The sequence below is a fragment of the Homo sapiens genome, chromosome 4, assembly GCF_000001405.40.
Source record: "Homo sapiens chromosome 4, GRCh38.p14 Primary Assembly".
NCBI classification, from domain to species: domain Eukaryota; kingdom Metazoa; phylum Chordata; class Mammalia; order Primates; family Hominidae; genus Homo; species Homo sapiens.
Window position 1 is genome coordinate 40,822,950 of NC_000004.12, and position 17,370 is coordinate 40,840,319.

General features: G+C 48.5%; 1 protein-coding gene across 55 annotated transcripts in view, besides 1 other annotated feature; it reads right to left on the reverse strand.

Annotated features, from left to right (window-relative positions):
• Positions 1-17,370, reverse strand: part of APBB2 (amyloid beta precursor protein binding family B member 2) — a 404,516-nt gene that overhangs the window by 12,923 nt on the left and 374,223 nt on the right. For 54 of the 55 annotated variants that reach the window (XM_047450191.1, XM_047450181.1, XM_047450169.1 and 51 more), the window contains 4 exons: positions 7,514-7,628; positions 4,183-4,270; positions 2,938-3,021; positions 695-810 (listed from right to left, as the gene is read on the reverse strand). In XM_047450191.1, the coding sequence (XP_047306147.1) occupies positions 695-810; positions 2,938-3,021; positions 4,183-4,270; positions 7,514-7,628 (403 nt within the window). The remainder of the gene's footprint in view (positions 1-694; positions 811-2,937; positions 3,022-4,182; positions 4,271-7,513; positions 7,629-17,370) is intronic. The other variant, NM_173075.5, reaches the window with a different exon arrangement.
• Positions 12,823-13,392: an enhancer, noted in NCBI's record as "H3K27ac-H3K4me1 hESC enhancer chr4:40837789-40838358 (GRCh37/hg19 assembly coordinates)". NCBI's record gives its function as "activates a minimal SCP1, AML or CMV promoter by ChIP-STARR-seq in naive H9 embryonic stem cells {active_cell/tissue: H9 hESC(naive)}" and the evidence as "EXISTENCE:reporter gene assay evidence [ECO:0000049][PMID:30033119]".

A 17,370-nucleotide genomic window follows, 5' to 3' on the forward strand; every position in this document is an offset into this window, starting at 1 on the left:
CTCAGTGTGGCCAGCTGGAGGCAGGCAGTGAGCACCCTGCTCCTCTCTCCAGGGTGAACCGGGCAGCTGTGGGGCAGGCTGATGACTGGTGGTCTTTCCCTGGCAGGTGCTTCACAGAGGCAGAATAGAAAAGTGGGCACAAGTCTGGGCCAGGTTGCCTGGATTTAAGTCCTGATTCCATTGCTTCCAACTGTGTGATGCTGGGCAAATGACTTAGCCTCTCTGTGCTTCAATTTCTTCAACCACGAAACTGAGATAATTTGGGCTGAGGCTAATGTGGCCTCTTCTCAAGACAACCAATAGCTCCTTCTGCTACTGATAGTCACAGGACTCTCCCAAATGGAAGCATCTTCTGCTTTTCATCCCCAGATCACACAGCCCAGGCAATACTGGCGCCCTGAGAGTGAGCGACTACTAGCGTCACACACTCACCTCTAGCAAACAATTTCTCTCTGGGGCACATGAGGAAGACAGAATCAGAAGCACCAGAAGAGAAGTTTCTCAGGCCACAGGAAAACAGAGGTATGCACAGATTTAGACCCAGACAAAGGGCCAAATCTTTCAAATGTAGGCCATCTTAATCACAAGGATGCACAACTCCGGCCTTGACTATGTTCCTAAGTTCCACAGAAAACCACTGTATCTTATACTCACTGTATAAGACACACCAATGTCATCGAAGATTCCTTCTCACCTTTTCACTGATGACAGTCACAGTGGCATCAGCCACGTTCATGTTCACTGACAGCCAGTCCTCCTTGTTGGATGAGGTCATAAGATTTTCTATGGCACTGTTCAAAATATCCATTCCTGGGGACAGAAAAGGATAATTTAAAGTGTCCTAAAGCCACTTACCACACTCAAATGTGGGCCCAAATCACCAATAACAGCTACGCCCAGACTGATCTTTTTTTAATAGACAGGACACTTCATTCTCATGTTTGCTCAACAGGAATGAAATACCAGCTTCTGGCCGGGCGTAGTGGCTCACGCCTGTAATCTCAGCACTTTGGGAGGCTGAGCCAGGATCATTTGAGGTCAGGAGTTCGAGACCAGCCTGGCCAACACGGTGAAACCCTGTCTCTACTAAAAATACAAAAATTAGCTGGACATGCTTGCTTGAACCCAGGAGGCGGAGGCTGCAGTGAGCTGAGATCGCACCACTGCACTCCAGCCTGGGCAAGTATCAGTGAGACTCTGTCTCAAAAAACAAAAAAAGAAAAAGAAAAAAAAGAAATAACAGCCTTTTCAGTAGGAGAGGAGAGTCAGGAGAAGCTCCGGGGACCTGGTGCCTTAGACGCTGTCTACCTATGCAGACCATGGCCCTTCAGCCTCTCTCCACCCTCACTGTCTCTTGATGGCACCTTTACAGTGGATCCCCCCATTGAGTAGGGCCCTTTTGCCAGCTGTTTCCACAGTTTTTCTGGGGGATAGGGGTGGGAGTGACAGCTTTATTGAGGTATCATTCACATGCAATTCACTCACGTAAAGTGTGCAATCCAGTGGATTTTAGTACATTCACAGAGCGCACCCATCACCATCATCAATTTTTTTTTGAGACAGGGTGTTGCTCTGTCACCCAGGCTGGAGTGCAGTGGTACAATCACGGCTCACTGTAGCCTCAGCCTCCCAGGCTCAGATGATCCTCCCACCTCGGCCTCTGGAGTAGCTGGGACTACAGGTACATGCCACCATGCCCAGCTAATTTTTTGAATTTTTTTTGTAGAGATGAGGTTTTGCCATGTTGCCTGGGCTGGTCTTGAACTTCTGGGCTCAAGCAATCCACCTGCCTTGGCTTCCCAAAGTGCTGAGATTACAGGTGTGAGCCACCATGCTAGACCTACCATAATCAATTTTAGAACAGTTTCATCACCCCAAAGAGAAACCCCGTGCCTGGTAGGGGTCATTCTGCATTTTTCCCCCACTCCCCAGACCCCTAGACCAAGGCAACCCTTACCTACTTTCTGACGCTAGAGCTCTGCCTATTTTGGGCGTTTCATATGAACGTAATCACACAGTATGCAGTCTTTTGGGACTGACTTCCCTCATAGCATGTTTTCAGGCTTCATCCACGCTACAGCGCACTTCAGTCCTTCATTCCTTTTTATTGCCAAATAAAATTCCACTGTATGGAAGTATCACATCTTATTTATCTAATTGTCAGTTGATTTGTCAGGACATTCAGGTTGTTTCGCTTTTTGACTCTCATCAATAATTCTGCTGTGAACATTTGCATACACGTTTTTGCATGCACAAACGTTTTCACTTCTCTTGGGTCTACGCCTAGGAACTGAGTTGCTGGGTCTAAAGTAACTATGTTTCACCTTCTGAAGAATGCCAGACTGTTTTCCAAAGCAGCTGCACCATCTTACAGCCCCCTTGGCAGTATATGTAGCTTGCGATTTCTCCACAGCCTTTTTTAGCCCTGGTGAAGGCTTCATCTCCCAGTCTCTTTTTGGCTTGGTATAGCCCAGCAACTACACTCTGCCCCTGGCATGTGAGCTGAATGCTGTGTGTGCCACTACTGTGTCACTCCTTGACAGCATGAAGCCTCCACAGTCCTTTCTCCTGGCCCGCCAGCTGACAAGACACGAAGCAGGTGCCCTGGCCTCAGAGATGGAGGCCTCGTTTCAGAGCAGCGGAGCTCTTCCACGGCCCTGAGTCACACAGCTCTGGACTACTGGGTAAACAAGAAATCCACGTCTGTATTGCTAAAGTCCTGCATGCTGGGGATGACAGGTCAAAGCAGCGGGGCCTGTCCCTCTACTCATCTTTTGATCAGGACCGTTTATGTTCTCTGGCAGGTGACAGTGTGACAGTTTGATTCAAGACAAGGCGTGAGAGTAAACAGCAGACCTCACCCTCCTCGGAGGGCGAACGCCTCCTGTGAGCTCCCGCACACTTGCAAAGTGGAAAGACAATAAACATTTCACATACCGACTGGTTTGTCTACAGGTAACATGCCCAAGTACTGCACGTGGAACTTCTGGACCAGCTCAGTCTTTGGTGTTGGAAAATCTACTACAGGGAACAAAAGCAACACATCTTTCTCAGTGGTTCCAACACACATGTACACAACAGCCGTGGCTCTGCATCATCTGAATGCTCAGGACACGCCCTGTGCCATAACGCCCTATGTTTCTGGATGTAAATGTAACAACTATTCTACAAGAGCAGCATTACTCCAGATATTGGGGCTCTGTTAAAATCCTGTTCAACTTTCAAGATAGGAATGCATGTGAAAGCAGGAAGTGGCATCTATGTGTTAAAGCTGCTACTGTCTCTTTGATGTATATTAAGTAAAGTAGCAGCTTTTGGTGTCCTATTTAATTAGGTGTGGTTGATGCCCAGAGAAAATGTAACCTCAAAGGGCACAATCAGAGACATAGGAAGATAACTGAGTTCCCCCAGTAATCAACCCACGTTTTTTTTTTTTTAGAGACAAGAGTCTCGCTCTGTTGCCCAGGCTGGAGTGCAGTGGTGCGATCTTGGCTCGCTGCAACCTCCATCTCCTGGGTTCTAGCAATTCTACAGGTGCATGCTGCCATACCTGGCTAATTTTTTGTATTTTAGTAGAGACAGGGTTTCACCATGTTGCACAGGCTGGTCTTGAACTCCTAAGCTCAGGCAATCCACCCGCCTCAGCCTCCCAAAGTGCTGGGATTATAGATGTGAACCACCGCGCCTGGCCCATGTTTTCTTTTTTTAAGATTAGTCAAGTATAGTAGTGGGAAGGGGAGAATGAGGAGCACAAGGAGGTCGATCTGTAACTGGCTGAACCATCAACTGAGGTAACTCACTACCTTCAGACCAGCCCAACCCACGTGTTTTTAAACCAGCCAGGGTCCTTATCCCAGGTTGTACATGAATTATAATATGAAGACAGTATTCTTAAAGAACATAAAATACAAAACAAAATGAAAACGAAGGCAAAAACTAAAGACAATATTCTTTAATCTTGTCCAATAACAACAAAACTCATCCTGGCTTTATGCCTAACCCTAGTGATGCAAAATCAACTCTGTGCCTCTGTGAGACCCAGCGTGCAGGCTCAACTTGTGCTTACTGAGTTGAGTGTGCTCTTTAAGGAGACTTGAAATACCAGAGAACCATCTGAGAGCCTTCAGTCCTGGACCAGGAGGGACAGGGCCATAATGAAGACATGAGGTGCCACTGACTTACCTTGCAAAGGGACATCGAGGTTCACATTGGCCCTTTCCTGTAAGGAGCTGCAGGCCAGCGCTTTGGCATTCTTCCGTTCAGCCATAATCTAAGGGGGAAAAAGTGCAGCTTTGGAGCGTGGGTTCAAGCCCCCATGTCTTCAGCTATTCCAGCCTGTAAAGTGTCTAGGTTGACTTCACTTCCAAGTTAGATCAGCTTTAGTCTATTGCCTGAAGTCCCACCCCTGCATCTCTGGGGCTACATATTTTGTTGAGGAATTCCACTCATTTTCTCTGGGGATGATAGGTGAAAAACTATTCCTCAGAGTAGCAGTCTCCTGATTGCTTGGAATGGACTTCTTCCATTCACCAGGCTCCCACCTCTACTAGAAACAACTCAAACAAGTCTCCCTGGTCTTGCATGGACCCTGCCGGCCCACAGTGGCCAGCGGCAGCCACAGCAGTGGCTTCTTCCAGTGCTTCCAAATGCCACCCTTTGAAGACAGACAACATGGGTTCAAACTGCACCTCTGCCACTTACTAGCTGTGTGACCTTGACCTTGGGCAAGTGACCTGATCTCCTGTGTCTCCACTGCACACGGAGGTGGTTAACAGTATTTGTCTCAGATGGTAGTTCTGAGGATCACATGAGTGAGTGTGTCACGCATAGGGAAGGCCTAGACAGCATTAAGTGCTCAGAAATGTCCCCTGCTGACATGCTTTGGCTGTGTCCTCACCCAAATCTCGTCGTGAATTGTAGCTCCCTTAATTCCGATGTGTTATGGGAGGGACCTGGTGGAGATAACTGAATCATAGGGGCAGTTTTCCCCCATACTGTTCTCGTGGTGGTGAGTAAGTCCCACAAGAGCTGATGGTTTGACAAGGGGTTTCCCCTTTTGCTTGGCTCTGATTCTCTCTTGCCTGCTGCCATGTAAGACGTGCCTTTCACCTTCCACCATGATTGTGAGGCCTCACCAGCCACATGGAACTGTGAGTTCATTAAACTTCTTTTTCTTTATAAATTACCCAGTCTTGGGTATGTCTTTATTAGCAGCGTGAAAGCCGACTAATACACCTGCCATTTTTGCTGTTATCCTCAAACTGCTCTAAATTGCTTCTCTTCTGTAAGGGACACTGATGTCTGCTTTACTTAAGAGTAAAGCACTTTATACTCCTGTTCTCCACCAGTTACATACAGTGCTGTGGGTTTAGGGACTGAAAGAAGCCCACCCTTTAGTGACCCCAAAAGTAACTCGGATCTTCATTCCCAGACTAAGTTTTCCATTCCAAGTGGAGTGAAAGTCATTTCCATCGCAGACCTCTACTCTGCCTATCTCCAGATCTGTGCCCAGGGCAGCGAGCAAGAGGGCTGCCGACAAGAATAAAATCAAGCGTTTCCTGCATACTTATTCTGTGCCAGGCCATGTTCTGAGGGCTTTATGCCAGAATATAAGCTCCATAAGGGCAAGGACTTTTTTTTTTCTGTTTTGGTCATTGCCCTCTCCCCAGTGCCTTTGATAGTGCCTGGCACATAAATGGCATTCCATTCTATGTGTTGCATGAATGAATGAGAAATGAAATCCAGGGAGCAGGCCGCAATGCTGCAAATGGCAGCAACACCCCCGTCTCATCAATGCAAGAATGTGAACATGGGCGGGAATAAACGTGGTGATCTCAAGACCAGTGCCCATCCTGCACGTCCCCATCGTGGGATTCAGAGCAGCAGACGGGGGCACTCTTTCATTCTGAGGCTGGGGACAGCTCCCTGCCCCTGTCCCTCCCTCAGGCACCATGGCTTGGACCTCCTGCTCGGTTAACAGGCTGGGCCAACTCCTGGCCTGGGTTGGGTCTTGACGGCTCAGGAAGAATTGTGGGAGTGAGGCTGGGTTATGATGTCAGCCTGAATCAGAAAGGTGACATTCAACAGAGGGGATGGCAAAATTCTGCATCTAAATTCAAGAAATTAACCAAGTCTGGGGCATGGAAAGGGCTGGCTAAAAGAAGCTTGTGCCAGTGTGTTGGGGGTTCAGCTGCCACCATGTGAAGAGAAATCAGGGGGTGATGTGGTTGCCAAGAACATCGAGCACCACAATAGTGTGTCCTTGGCGGTCAAAGGACAGAGCAGCCCCTGGCCCTGGTCTGCTCTCTGCTCACTTTTGGAATACTGTGTTCATCTGGGGGATCCAACCAGAGAGTGCCCAGAAGACAATGGTTAGGGACTGGAATAGCCATGTGACCCAAAAGTGGCTGCAGAGACGGGGGTGGTGGATCTGGAGAGGGAGGAAGTCAGGGGCAAGAAGACTCAATGATAGATGCTTGTCCAGCGCCTCTAAAACACATAACACATGGTGAAACACAGCAAGGCTTCAAGTGTCTGAGGAGCTGGCCACCAAAGAGAATTGGGGGACCTTTCTCTGCTGCTACAGATGGCAGATCTCCAGTCAGTACCTGGAAGTTCCAAGAGGAAGATTTCGGGTCAACATAAAGAAGAAATCTGTAACAGCCAGAGCTGCTTGGTAATAGAACCTCCTCCTGAAAAGCAAGAGACTCCATCTGTGGGAGTCCATGGGTGTGTAGGGCAGAGGGTGGGGGGATGTCTGCAAGGGGGCTGTTATGCTGGTGGGAGGCGGAGGCTAGGCTGGTGACGCCAGACTGTTTGTTCTCATTTTGAGGCTGTGACTCTGGTTAAGGAAGTCTCACTAGCATGAGACCACAGTCTTGCCTCCCAGCTGGACAGGGTGCTTCTACGAGCCACTGTGTGTCCTCAGGAAGTTGGTGTGTGTTAACGGCAATCCCCAGCTCCCTGCATTTGCAGAAACCCTGGATGGTTTCTTGCCACCTCCTTTCCTGTAGCCTTTTTCTCTACCCACATTCACTCTCAGGTCAGATGGCCCTGCCCCTGGAAAATCCGCTTTGACTCCTTTTCCCAGTTTTCTGGGGTGTACGTATCTCTGCCATTGTTTTGCCTACCTGAGATATATACATTTCTAGGCTGCGGGAGGGACTATGGTTCTATTCATTTTGTGTAGATGGAGTGCTACTTAGAGCGATGCCTGCCCTGCAGCAAAAATACTTTAATGACTTGGCTGAACACACACACACATATATATATATATATGTTTCCAGGCGGCGGGAGGGACTATGGTTCTATTCATTTTGTGTAGATGGAGTGCTACTCAAGAGCGATGCCTGGCCCGCAGCAAGAATACTTTAATGACTCTGGCTGAACAATCTGCCTACTTCTCCCTGAGCTCAACTGCAGGTTGATGTGCCCACTCCCCCGCCCTTCCACATCCTTTTATGCAGCAAGAAAAAAAGAGAGAGGCGGCCCATACTGCCCTGACCCACCTTACCTTGGAGCAGATCTCGTGGAGACTTGTGGCAATGGCTTTTGCTGGTGTGTCACATCGAAATACATGACATTTCAAAATTCTTGTATCTTTATCTCTTGCTACATAAGCAAAATCCCTGTGCAAGCAAAATGTATCAGTCCATTAGTAAGAGAAGCTGATTACCAACACATACTTTAGTTATGAAGTTAACTGAGCTAGCAGCCAGCGTGTCAATGGTAAACAATGTATGCAATGATTAAAAGAAAAATTAAATTACAATAGCTTCCTAACATATAGTTTTATGACAATTAGAAATTCATTTCTGAGTAAAATACCTACGATGTGGGCTAGGCGCAGTGGCTCATGTCTGTAATCCCAACGTTTTGAGAGACCAAGGTAAGATGATTGTTTGAGGCCAGAAGTTTGAGACCAGCTCTCGAACCAGGCAACACAGTGAAACCACTATCAAAAAAAACCAAAACCAAAAAAAAACAAAAAACAAACAAAAAATGCCAGGTGCAGTGGCATGTATCTGCAGTTCCAGCTATTCTGGAGGGTGAGGTGGGAGAACTGCTTGAGCCCAGGAGTTTGAGGTTGCAGTGAGCTATAATCGTACCACTGCACTCCAGACTGGTCAACAGAACAAGACTTAGCCTCTAAAAATTTTTTTAAAAAAGGATGGGCGTGGTGGCTCATGCCTGTAATCCCAGCACTGGGAGGCCGAGGTGGGCGGATCACCTGAGGTCAGGAGTTGGAGACCAGCCTGGCCAACACAGTGAAACTCTGTCTCTACTAAAAATACAAAAAATTAGCTGGGCGTGGTGGCCGGCGTCTGTAATCCCAGCAACTCTGGAGGCTGAGGCAGGAGAATCGCCTGAACAGCCCAGGAGGCAGAGGTTACAGTGAGCCGAGACTGTGCCACTGCACTCCAGCCTGGGGGACAAGGGTGAAACTCCCTCTGAAAAAAAACAAAAAAAAAACATAACTTCAAAAGCCAGTCTGTTGAACTCTTGGAATCTCTAACAACCCTTAGTGAAAACTGAATTTCACAGAACCCTTCTATCTAGTGTAATAACCAGTGTTATGATTAGAAAACAGAAAGGCTTGAGGAGCGCATGAATCGCAAGATGATATAATGACACAGACAGTGGCGCAGCGGAAGCAAACAATAGGCTCTGATGTATAAACATGTGCACAAACAATGGACCAGCCCACAGCTGACTGAGAAAGTTGAAGGGCAATCACAGGGAATGTCAGAACACAAAGAGACACCATGGACTGCAGTCCTATCAAAGGCCTTTGACTGTTTTAAACACGTCTCAGACTCCAGATCTCAGAGCGACGGCAGCGGCGGCACATCATTTATTGCTTGCTGAGACACCTTGGTGAGCATGCAGCCGATGTTGGGTGTTCGCATTTTTTCTACTGATAAAAAGGATACTGACTGTGACATTACTTGGCTTCAAAAGAACCATGCGATACGACTGTATTTCTCAATGTTAACATTGGAAGACAGCAGTTCAAAGATGAAAGTGTTTTTACACACACACATATTTATATATTTATTTATATACACACACACACACACACACACACACACACACACACACATATACACCAAGCTTTACCCATCTAGGAATGGATCACAGTGATTTATTTGCATCTGATGCTAAGCCAGGATACTGTCTGGAGATATAACTACAGAGGAATTTTTAAATTATTTCTCTTAAGGTAAGACCTGGCAGCCTTTTCATAGACTATGATGGATACTTTCCCCAAGAAAGCCTTGGCGGCCTTGGGAAGGGACAGGGATTTACTATAGCAGGCAACTGGCCATCGTGAAGGTCTGGCCGGAAAACCCTGCCTCGCAACCTCACCTCGCCATGCCCCAGGCAGCCCTGCAGTGGGGCTCCCTAAGCCCAGGCTCCAGCTCAGCAGCACCTCACCTGGCTGCCCCATGACGCTTTAATCACCGGCAATCCACACATGACCCCAACATTTCTCCTCCCAACCTACTCCTGCTTCCTCACGTTCTAGCTCAGTGTCCTCCATGCTAGAACCGGACTCCCCCTGCCTCACGTGCCACACCCAATCCCCACATTCGTCCTGTTTCACCTCCTGGAAATTTCTGGCATCCATCCCTCCATTTCCAGCCCCCTCACCACGCAGCCATTCTAAGCTGCTCTTCGCCTCCCTGCCTGTGCTCAGGCCATCTCCATCCCCTTGCCAGGACTCAGCTGAAGATGGGTGAGAGCCTGGAAGGTTCCTCGCACACACAGTACATACACGGGGGCACAGCAAGTGTCTGAGTGTGTCTTCCCCTCAACACTCTGCAGCTCCATGAAGACGACTGTGCCTAACTCATCCCAGCGTCTAGTTCAGGCCTGGCGTATCACCGGTACTAATACATGTTTGCGGGCTGAGTACAAGTGTGGGCCTGTGGCACACATCCCTCCTTCCTGTTGGGAAAGTCGGTCCTTGCTCAGTACTGAATGGGTTCCACGACTGGGCTCGGGGGTGGGTTGGGGCAAGTCACTGGGCCGAGACTTTGAGGGGTGAGCACAGTCTTCTCCACACTGTGGCCTTCCCATCCAGCCTCAACCACCATCAAGGCAACACATAAGAAATGGACAGAAGACATCCCTTTTGGAGATCACACTCAAGGGATGCCTTGCTTCTGGTTCTCCTCCCTAGAGGGTCCTTCAGAAATACACCACGTCTCCCGGCACACAACTCCAATCCTTCCAACTTCCATGTGCAGCCACCATCTTCCTGAGGCCAAATCTCCCCAAAGCTCCCTGTGGTCAACCACACAAAGTCCAAAAACCTCTGGGTGGATTTTAAGAGTTCCAAAATTTGTCCCACCAACTTTCCAGCATGTTCCTCCCACTGCACGGCACTCCCCGCTGCTCCAGAAGAGGTGGGTCTTGGTGTCCGCTCGTAGTGGTGTCTTCCCTCACGTGGTGGCCAGTGGCCCTCCCCACACTGTCCAGCGCACGCCCATCTACTCAGCCTAGCCCAGCTCAACGGTCCGCCTGGTCCTCTGGCCCCAGGACCCTGCTTGTATCAAAATGCCCACGGTATTTACATTCTGTGCTACAAAGAAGAGGTCGTTATATCATACCTTTTTGTAGTTACTGTTACAGGTGTCACCTGTGTCTGTCCTCTAAGAGACAGCAGCAGCCAGAAGGGCCAGGCATTGAGATTCTGGCCACCCACATTCGAGTCTCAGCCCTGCTTCCACTTAGCTATACAACCCTGGGCATGGAATTTCACCTCATCTTTAAGTGAAGGGGTTGAAAAACATGATTTCCAAGTCCCTCCCCGGCTCTGACATTCTCTGATAGAAGCCTCCAAGATCCATCAGCCTCTCCATGGTGGCTGGCAGGCCCCAGCGTGCAACATCCCAAGGTTACCGACACGGCGGATGAACAGGTCCTGGTCAATAAGCAATGGATTATTCCTATCGAACTTCGGCTTTGTGCCCTCTGTGCCTCAGTTCTTTCATAGGCAGCCTTTTAGGCTTAACTTTAAAAAATTATGATTATTAATCTTCATTTTCCTCTGGCGCAGAGCAAGGTGACTGATGCCTTAAGGGCAACCATCTGGAACCCACAGCTTCCCCAGGGAGAAACTCAGCAGCCTCAGGCTTTTTTGGGAGGAATTCTCACTTTTTTTTTTTTACAGCCTTATCTTTTGTTGTTTCCTCCAAGGTAGAGGCTAATAGATTAGGGAGGCAGCAATCTGTCAGTCCATGACGGTGGGTGAGTCCGGTAACTAACCCTCCAGAGGTTTCATCACTTCCCAGGATAAAACAGGTGTCTTCTCCTCACTGTAGAGGTCAAGAGATTTGTGCATTTCCCATTTCACTCTCATGTAACATATCCCAAGTCCCTAAATATGGAGATCTGTAAGAGGCAGTGAGGCCTTTCTTTCAGGCCTAGAGCACAGACCAGTGGAGCGACTTCATCTATGGACAATGAAACATACAAGCGATCGAATTTCATTGATTTAAGACGAAATCCAAGCATCACTTGCCTGTGTGAAAAGCCTGCCTTTTTGGCACCTGACTTCTGAAAAGGGCTGCTGCGGGAGAGTCATGATCCCTCCCCACATCCCAGGAACCTGTGGCTATGTTCCCTTACATGCCAACAGGGGCTTGGCGGATGTGATCAACAAAGGATCCTGAGATGGGGATGTTACTCTGGACTATCTAGGTGGGCCCCGCAAATTCACAAGGGAAGGCGGGAGGCACTTTCTTCCTAAGGGAAAGAACAGGAGGCAGGGGCCAAGGAATGCAGGCAGCCTCAAGAAGCTGGAAAAGGCAAGAAAACGGATTCTCCCCGAGAGCCCCTGGAAGAAACACAGCCCAGCCAACACTGGGATTTGACATTTCTGACCACCAGAAACAGAAAAGAATCAAGTGGCGTGGCGTTAGGCCACTCGGTTTGTGGCCATTTGTTACAGCAACAATAGGAAATGAATGCAACTGCCGTTTGGATTTTATGGTGTGGTATTAAAGACTGATATTTTTTAAAATATTCAATTCATTAAAGTCCGGGCGCGGTGGCTCATGCCTGTAATCCCAGCACTTTGGGAGGCCAAGGTGGCAGATCATGAGGTCAGGAGATCGAGACCATCCTGGCTAACACGTGAAACCCCGTCTCTACTAAAAATACAAAAACTTAGCCGGGCGTGGTGGCGGGCGCCTGTAGTCCCAGCTACTCAGGAGGCTGAGGCAGGAGAATCGCTTGAACCCGGGAGGTGGAGGTTGCAGTGAGCCGAGATCGCGCCACTGCACTCCAGCCTGGGTGAGAGAGCAAGATTCCGTCTAAAAAAAAAAAAAAAAAAATTCAATTCACTTCTACAAGCACCTTCTAGCTGATATTATGTATCAGGAACCAGTGAGGCAAATTCAAACAGATAAGGTTCCAGCCTTGCAAGCCCGTCTAATGTTACAGACGGGCAATGAGGTTTGAGCTGCTTCTTTAAGTGTAAGAAGGACCTCATCACAGTAAGAAGGCAGCAGACAGCTCAAAGAACATTGAAACAGGTATGAGCAAAGGCAGGGAGGTCAGAAGGCCCCCCAGTTGTTTGCGAGAACTCCCAGCTGCCCTATGCATATGCCCCAGGCACTGTGGTGAGGCTCAGGTGCCGCTGCAGGGGTGCTGTGCGGGAGTCTGTACTCAGTTTGCACAGTGCCTTGTGTCTTGCCAGGACTGGCCCTTACTCCGAGCCATCCCAGTCTTGCAATATTACAGGTGACCCCATGTGATTTGTTTGGTGGGAGAAAGCCGGCCAAGGGAAGGGGACTGCTGGGGGCCACTGCGGTGGTCCAGCGCAGGGGGATGAGCAAAGTGCAGGCTAAATCAGCATCTGCGAGAACAGGGCAGAGGAGACAGATGGAAGAGGTGTTGGAAGGATAGCTGGCAGGAGTGGCAGATGTGTGAGAGACGTGGATGAGGGAGGCGATTAAGAATAACTCTGGGGTCCCTGCTAGGACAGCTAAGCACCCCATCACTGGAGTGGGGGAGGGAAGGAGGGCTGGTTTGGTGCAAGAAGTTGATGAGCTCCAGGGTGGACAAGACGTGTGGGGTGCTTGTGCTTGAGGAGCACCAGGTGACGAGGCCCACCAAGCAGGTGGGTGCTGGGACCCTGCACTGAGGCCTGCGGTCTGGGCAGGAGACATGGATCTGGGAGGTGGGTGAAGTCGGGGGAGCAGGTGAGAGTGTGGAGCATGAAAAGACAAAGCTGGCCGGGCGCGGTGGCTCATGCCTGTAATCCCAGCATTTTGGGAGGCCAAGGCGGGTGGATCTCTTCAGGTCAGGAGTTCAAGACCAGCCTAGCCAACATGGCAAAACACCATCTCTACTAAAAATACAAAAATTAGGCGGGTGCGGTAGTGTGCACCTGTAATCCCAGCTACTTGGGAGGCTGAGGTGTGAGAATCACTTGAACTCAGGAGATGGAGGTTGCAGTAGGCTGAGATTCCACCACTGCACTCCTGCCTAGGCAAACACAGCAAGACTCCATCTCAAAAACAAACAAACAAACAAACAAACAAAAAACATGTCAAACCAAGGCCTGGCGACTGGGGAAGAAAGACATTTAGAGGCCTTGTTTGAGGCAGGAGGTCCAATGAGAAGGTGGGAAAAAAATTGCTGGGGAAGAGGGCAGGAGAAGCCCAGGAGAGGCTGGTCCCAAAGATATCAAAGAAAGGGGGTTGAGGGAAAGGGGTAGAGAGCTTTCCAGAACAGTGGGAGACAGGCCAGGTGGTCTCAGCCACAGGGAGGTCTGCAGTGACCTTGGCCTCCTGGACCCTTACCTGGGAGAAGGAGTTTGGGGCCCAGCCTGAGGAGTACAGGAGTTAAAAGAACAGAGTTCATCCATCTCTCTCCTTTCTGTTTTTTACTCTTCTCCTTCTGGAACTTTCCAAACACACATAAAAATTGAGAAGATAGTAAACAAACTCTATATCCCATCAGCTGGCTTCCACAGTGATCAAAATGTCACCCATTAGTTTTTTACACAGCTGGGTTTTTCCCCAATCCCAGTGTCATGATGCTAAAGGCCACTGTGGTCATACGTAAGAGCAACAGGGTAGGTCCTTGATTTTCTTGTATTCTGAGGGGGAGAAGAAATTGCTTTGTAGTAAACACACCTCCACACTCAGAGTGTTCCTGACAGACTGTGCAAACCTAAACTGGTGCGATCAGCTCAGGCCGAGCATGTGGGCTGGGGAGGAAAGAGTGTGTCGGGTGCCACATGGCCATCAGGCGTCAGGCAGCCAAGCAGGCAGGGCCCGTAGCCAGCTCTGTTGCTGCATGGGACACGGGGGCTGGCTGGTCCACTGCAGGCACCTTTGAGGAGCCTTCAGGTTGGGAGCCCTTGAGGGCTATCCTTCCGTTAGCACTTCCGGCTTCCAGAGCACCAGGAGGGTCCCATCTCAGACAGGCTGGGAGCCATACTCATTAACCGGGCGCCTCACACAGCCACGCAGGGTCCAGGCTTCAGCATCTCGTCTGTAAAACCACACAGCTGGCCCAAAAGATCTCCAAGGGCCAGAAAGAACATCACTCCCAGTTTTTCCAACAGCTTCTAGATTCCCAGGAACCTGTGGTTATCTGAAATTCTACCACCTGTGATCATCAGACACGATCTGTCTGACACTTGGCAGCAAGACCCGTTTCTGCTCTCTGCTCCAGCTCATGCCATACCCTAGCCATTTACAAGGCTAGGCCAGGAGCCATCTGCTGCCCATACATGGAGTCTCACTCCATTTAACGCCTGCAGTCATGAGAATCATTGCGTTTTCTTTTATAAGCCAGGAAGTGGAAGGGTTATAGCTATAGTTTCTTGTGTCTCTTCTTTAAATGGTGACAGAAGCTAGTACCAGGAATCAAGTACCTGTTGCCACCTGCTTACTGAGCCCTGGTGTTTCCAACTCTTTTCATTCCTGTCTTTTTGGCTGTCTTCCTCAGTAATTACTCTCCCAGAGGACCAAGATAGAGTTTTGCTGGAGAAAAATGACAGTGTTAATACATCTTATCTGACAGCCTCAAATTTCTTAATTAAAAAAATATAAAGGACCAAAGATTGCTTTTATATATTCTCAGTTATATAGCATTCTAATCACTCAATAGGGGCTTAATCCATCTTTATGGAATGAATAAATGATTCTTTATTCAAGTGGGCATTATTATTATTATTATTATTATTATTATTATTATTATTATTTTGAGACAGATTCTCGCTCTGTCACCCAGGCTGGAGTGCAGTGGCATGATCTCGGCTCACTGCAACCTCCACCTCCTGGGTTCAAGTGATTCTCATGCCTTGGCTTCTTGAGTAGCTGGGATTACAGGTGTGCACCACCACACATGGCTAATTTTTTTTTTTTTTTTTTTTTTTTGAGACGGAGTCTCGCTCTGTCGCCCTGGCTGGAGTGCAGTGGTGTGATCTCGACTCACTGCAACCTCCGCCTCCCGGGTTCAAGCAATTCTCCTGCCTCAGCCTCCTGAGTAGTTGGGACTACAGGCACGTGCCACCACACTTGGCTAATTTTTAGTATTTTTAGTAGAGATGGGGTTTCACCAAGTTAGCCAGTATGGTCTCGATCTCCTGACCTCGTGATCCGCCTGCCTCGGCCTCTCAAAGTGCTGGGATTACAGGCGTGAGCCACGCGCCTTGCCAATTTTTGTATTTTTAGTGGAGATGGAGTTTCACCACATTGGGCAGGCTGGTCTAGAACTCCTGGACTCAAGTGATCCGCCCACCTCAGCCTCCCAAAGTGCTGGGATTACAGGCGTGAGCCACCATGCCTGGCAAAAGCAGGCTCTATTTTAAAAAATAGCCAGAACTACTTATTCTCTCCCTAAATCTCTCCTGTGCAACTCTCGTAGTGTAAGTGGAATTTGCTTATGTGTTTACCTCTCTTCCAAAAGGCATCTACAGACCTCTTAGCTGTGACTCAGGCTAACTTTTCAAAGTCCCTTTCACAGCAGCACCAGCAGGTGGTACCTAGAGTATTTCCATGATAGGACATCTCGTTTCTTTAATAAATCAGCCTGTTCTGTTGGTGGAAAGCTCCAGTGAATAATATATATATGTCTTCTTAAAACATTTTTATATACTATTTTTCACTTTATTATTTTGAGACAGGGTCTCACTCTGTCGGCCAGGCTGGAGTGCAGTGGTGCAATCAAAGCTCATTGTAGCCTCGACCTCCTAGACTCAAGCGATCCTCCCGTCTCAGCCTCCCAAGTAGCTGGGACTACAGGCATGTGCCACCACACCTGGCTCAAAATATATTTTTTCTAAATGATGAACGCAACCTTGCCTCCCTGTAACTTCTGCTTGTAGGATCTAGTTTTGCTTTCTGGAGTGGCACAGAACAAGTTGACCTTGTCAGCTGCACCAGAGCCCATGTAACTGGCAGGAACTCACCTGTCCTTTTCTGTTAAGAGTCACATTACACTCAATCTCTCACCAATTCTCTGTTGTTGGGATTCCTTACCAAGTATCCACAATTTGATAACATCTTTCACATCAATCACAGTTGCTCAGGTCAAATACATGGCATGTTTTATTGAGGGAATTTGTGAAGGCTGGCACATGATAGGCATTCAATAAATGGTAGGTACCATATTATAAATGAGGAAAAAGAAGTCAAACAAAAAGCCTACTTTGAAATACTGTCTCCTTATCCATGAGGGATTTTTCTTTTTTCTTTTTTTTTTTTGAGGTGGAGTCTCGCTCTGTTGCCCAGGCTGGAGTGCAGTGGTGCCATCTCGGCTCACTGCAACCTCTGCCTCCCAGGTTCAAGAAATTCTCCTGCCTCAGCCTCCCGAGTAGCTGGGATTACAAGCGTGTGACACCATGCCTGGCTAATTTTTATATTTTTAGTAGAGACGGGGCTTCGCCATGTTGGCCAGGGTGGTCTCGAATTCCTGACCTCAGGTGATCCGCCCACCTCGGACTCCCAAAGTGCTGGGATTACAGGCATGAGCCATTGCGCCTGGCCCCACGAGGGGTGTTTTTTAATAAATATTTGCACTCATATGAATTATACTAAGACTTGCTAAAATGTACCCAGTGACCCTTCCCTCCCAGCTTATCTTTCTATTGATGCTATTGCAAAGGGCAGGTCCCATCTGCAAATAAGGATAAGACAGCAGCAAACGGATTGGATCCAAACATCGCACTTCTGGCACTTTAGGACAAAGGGCTTTCTCTCCTCTTTGTTTCACCTGTGCAGGGCCTAGCATGAGATCCAAAATAGAATTCAAAAGGTAAGCCCACATGAGAACACGGTGTAATTATAGGGTTCCTGGGCTATACAAAAATGTGGGTTGTTGACAGTCTGTACAAGGTCTGGA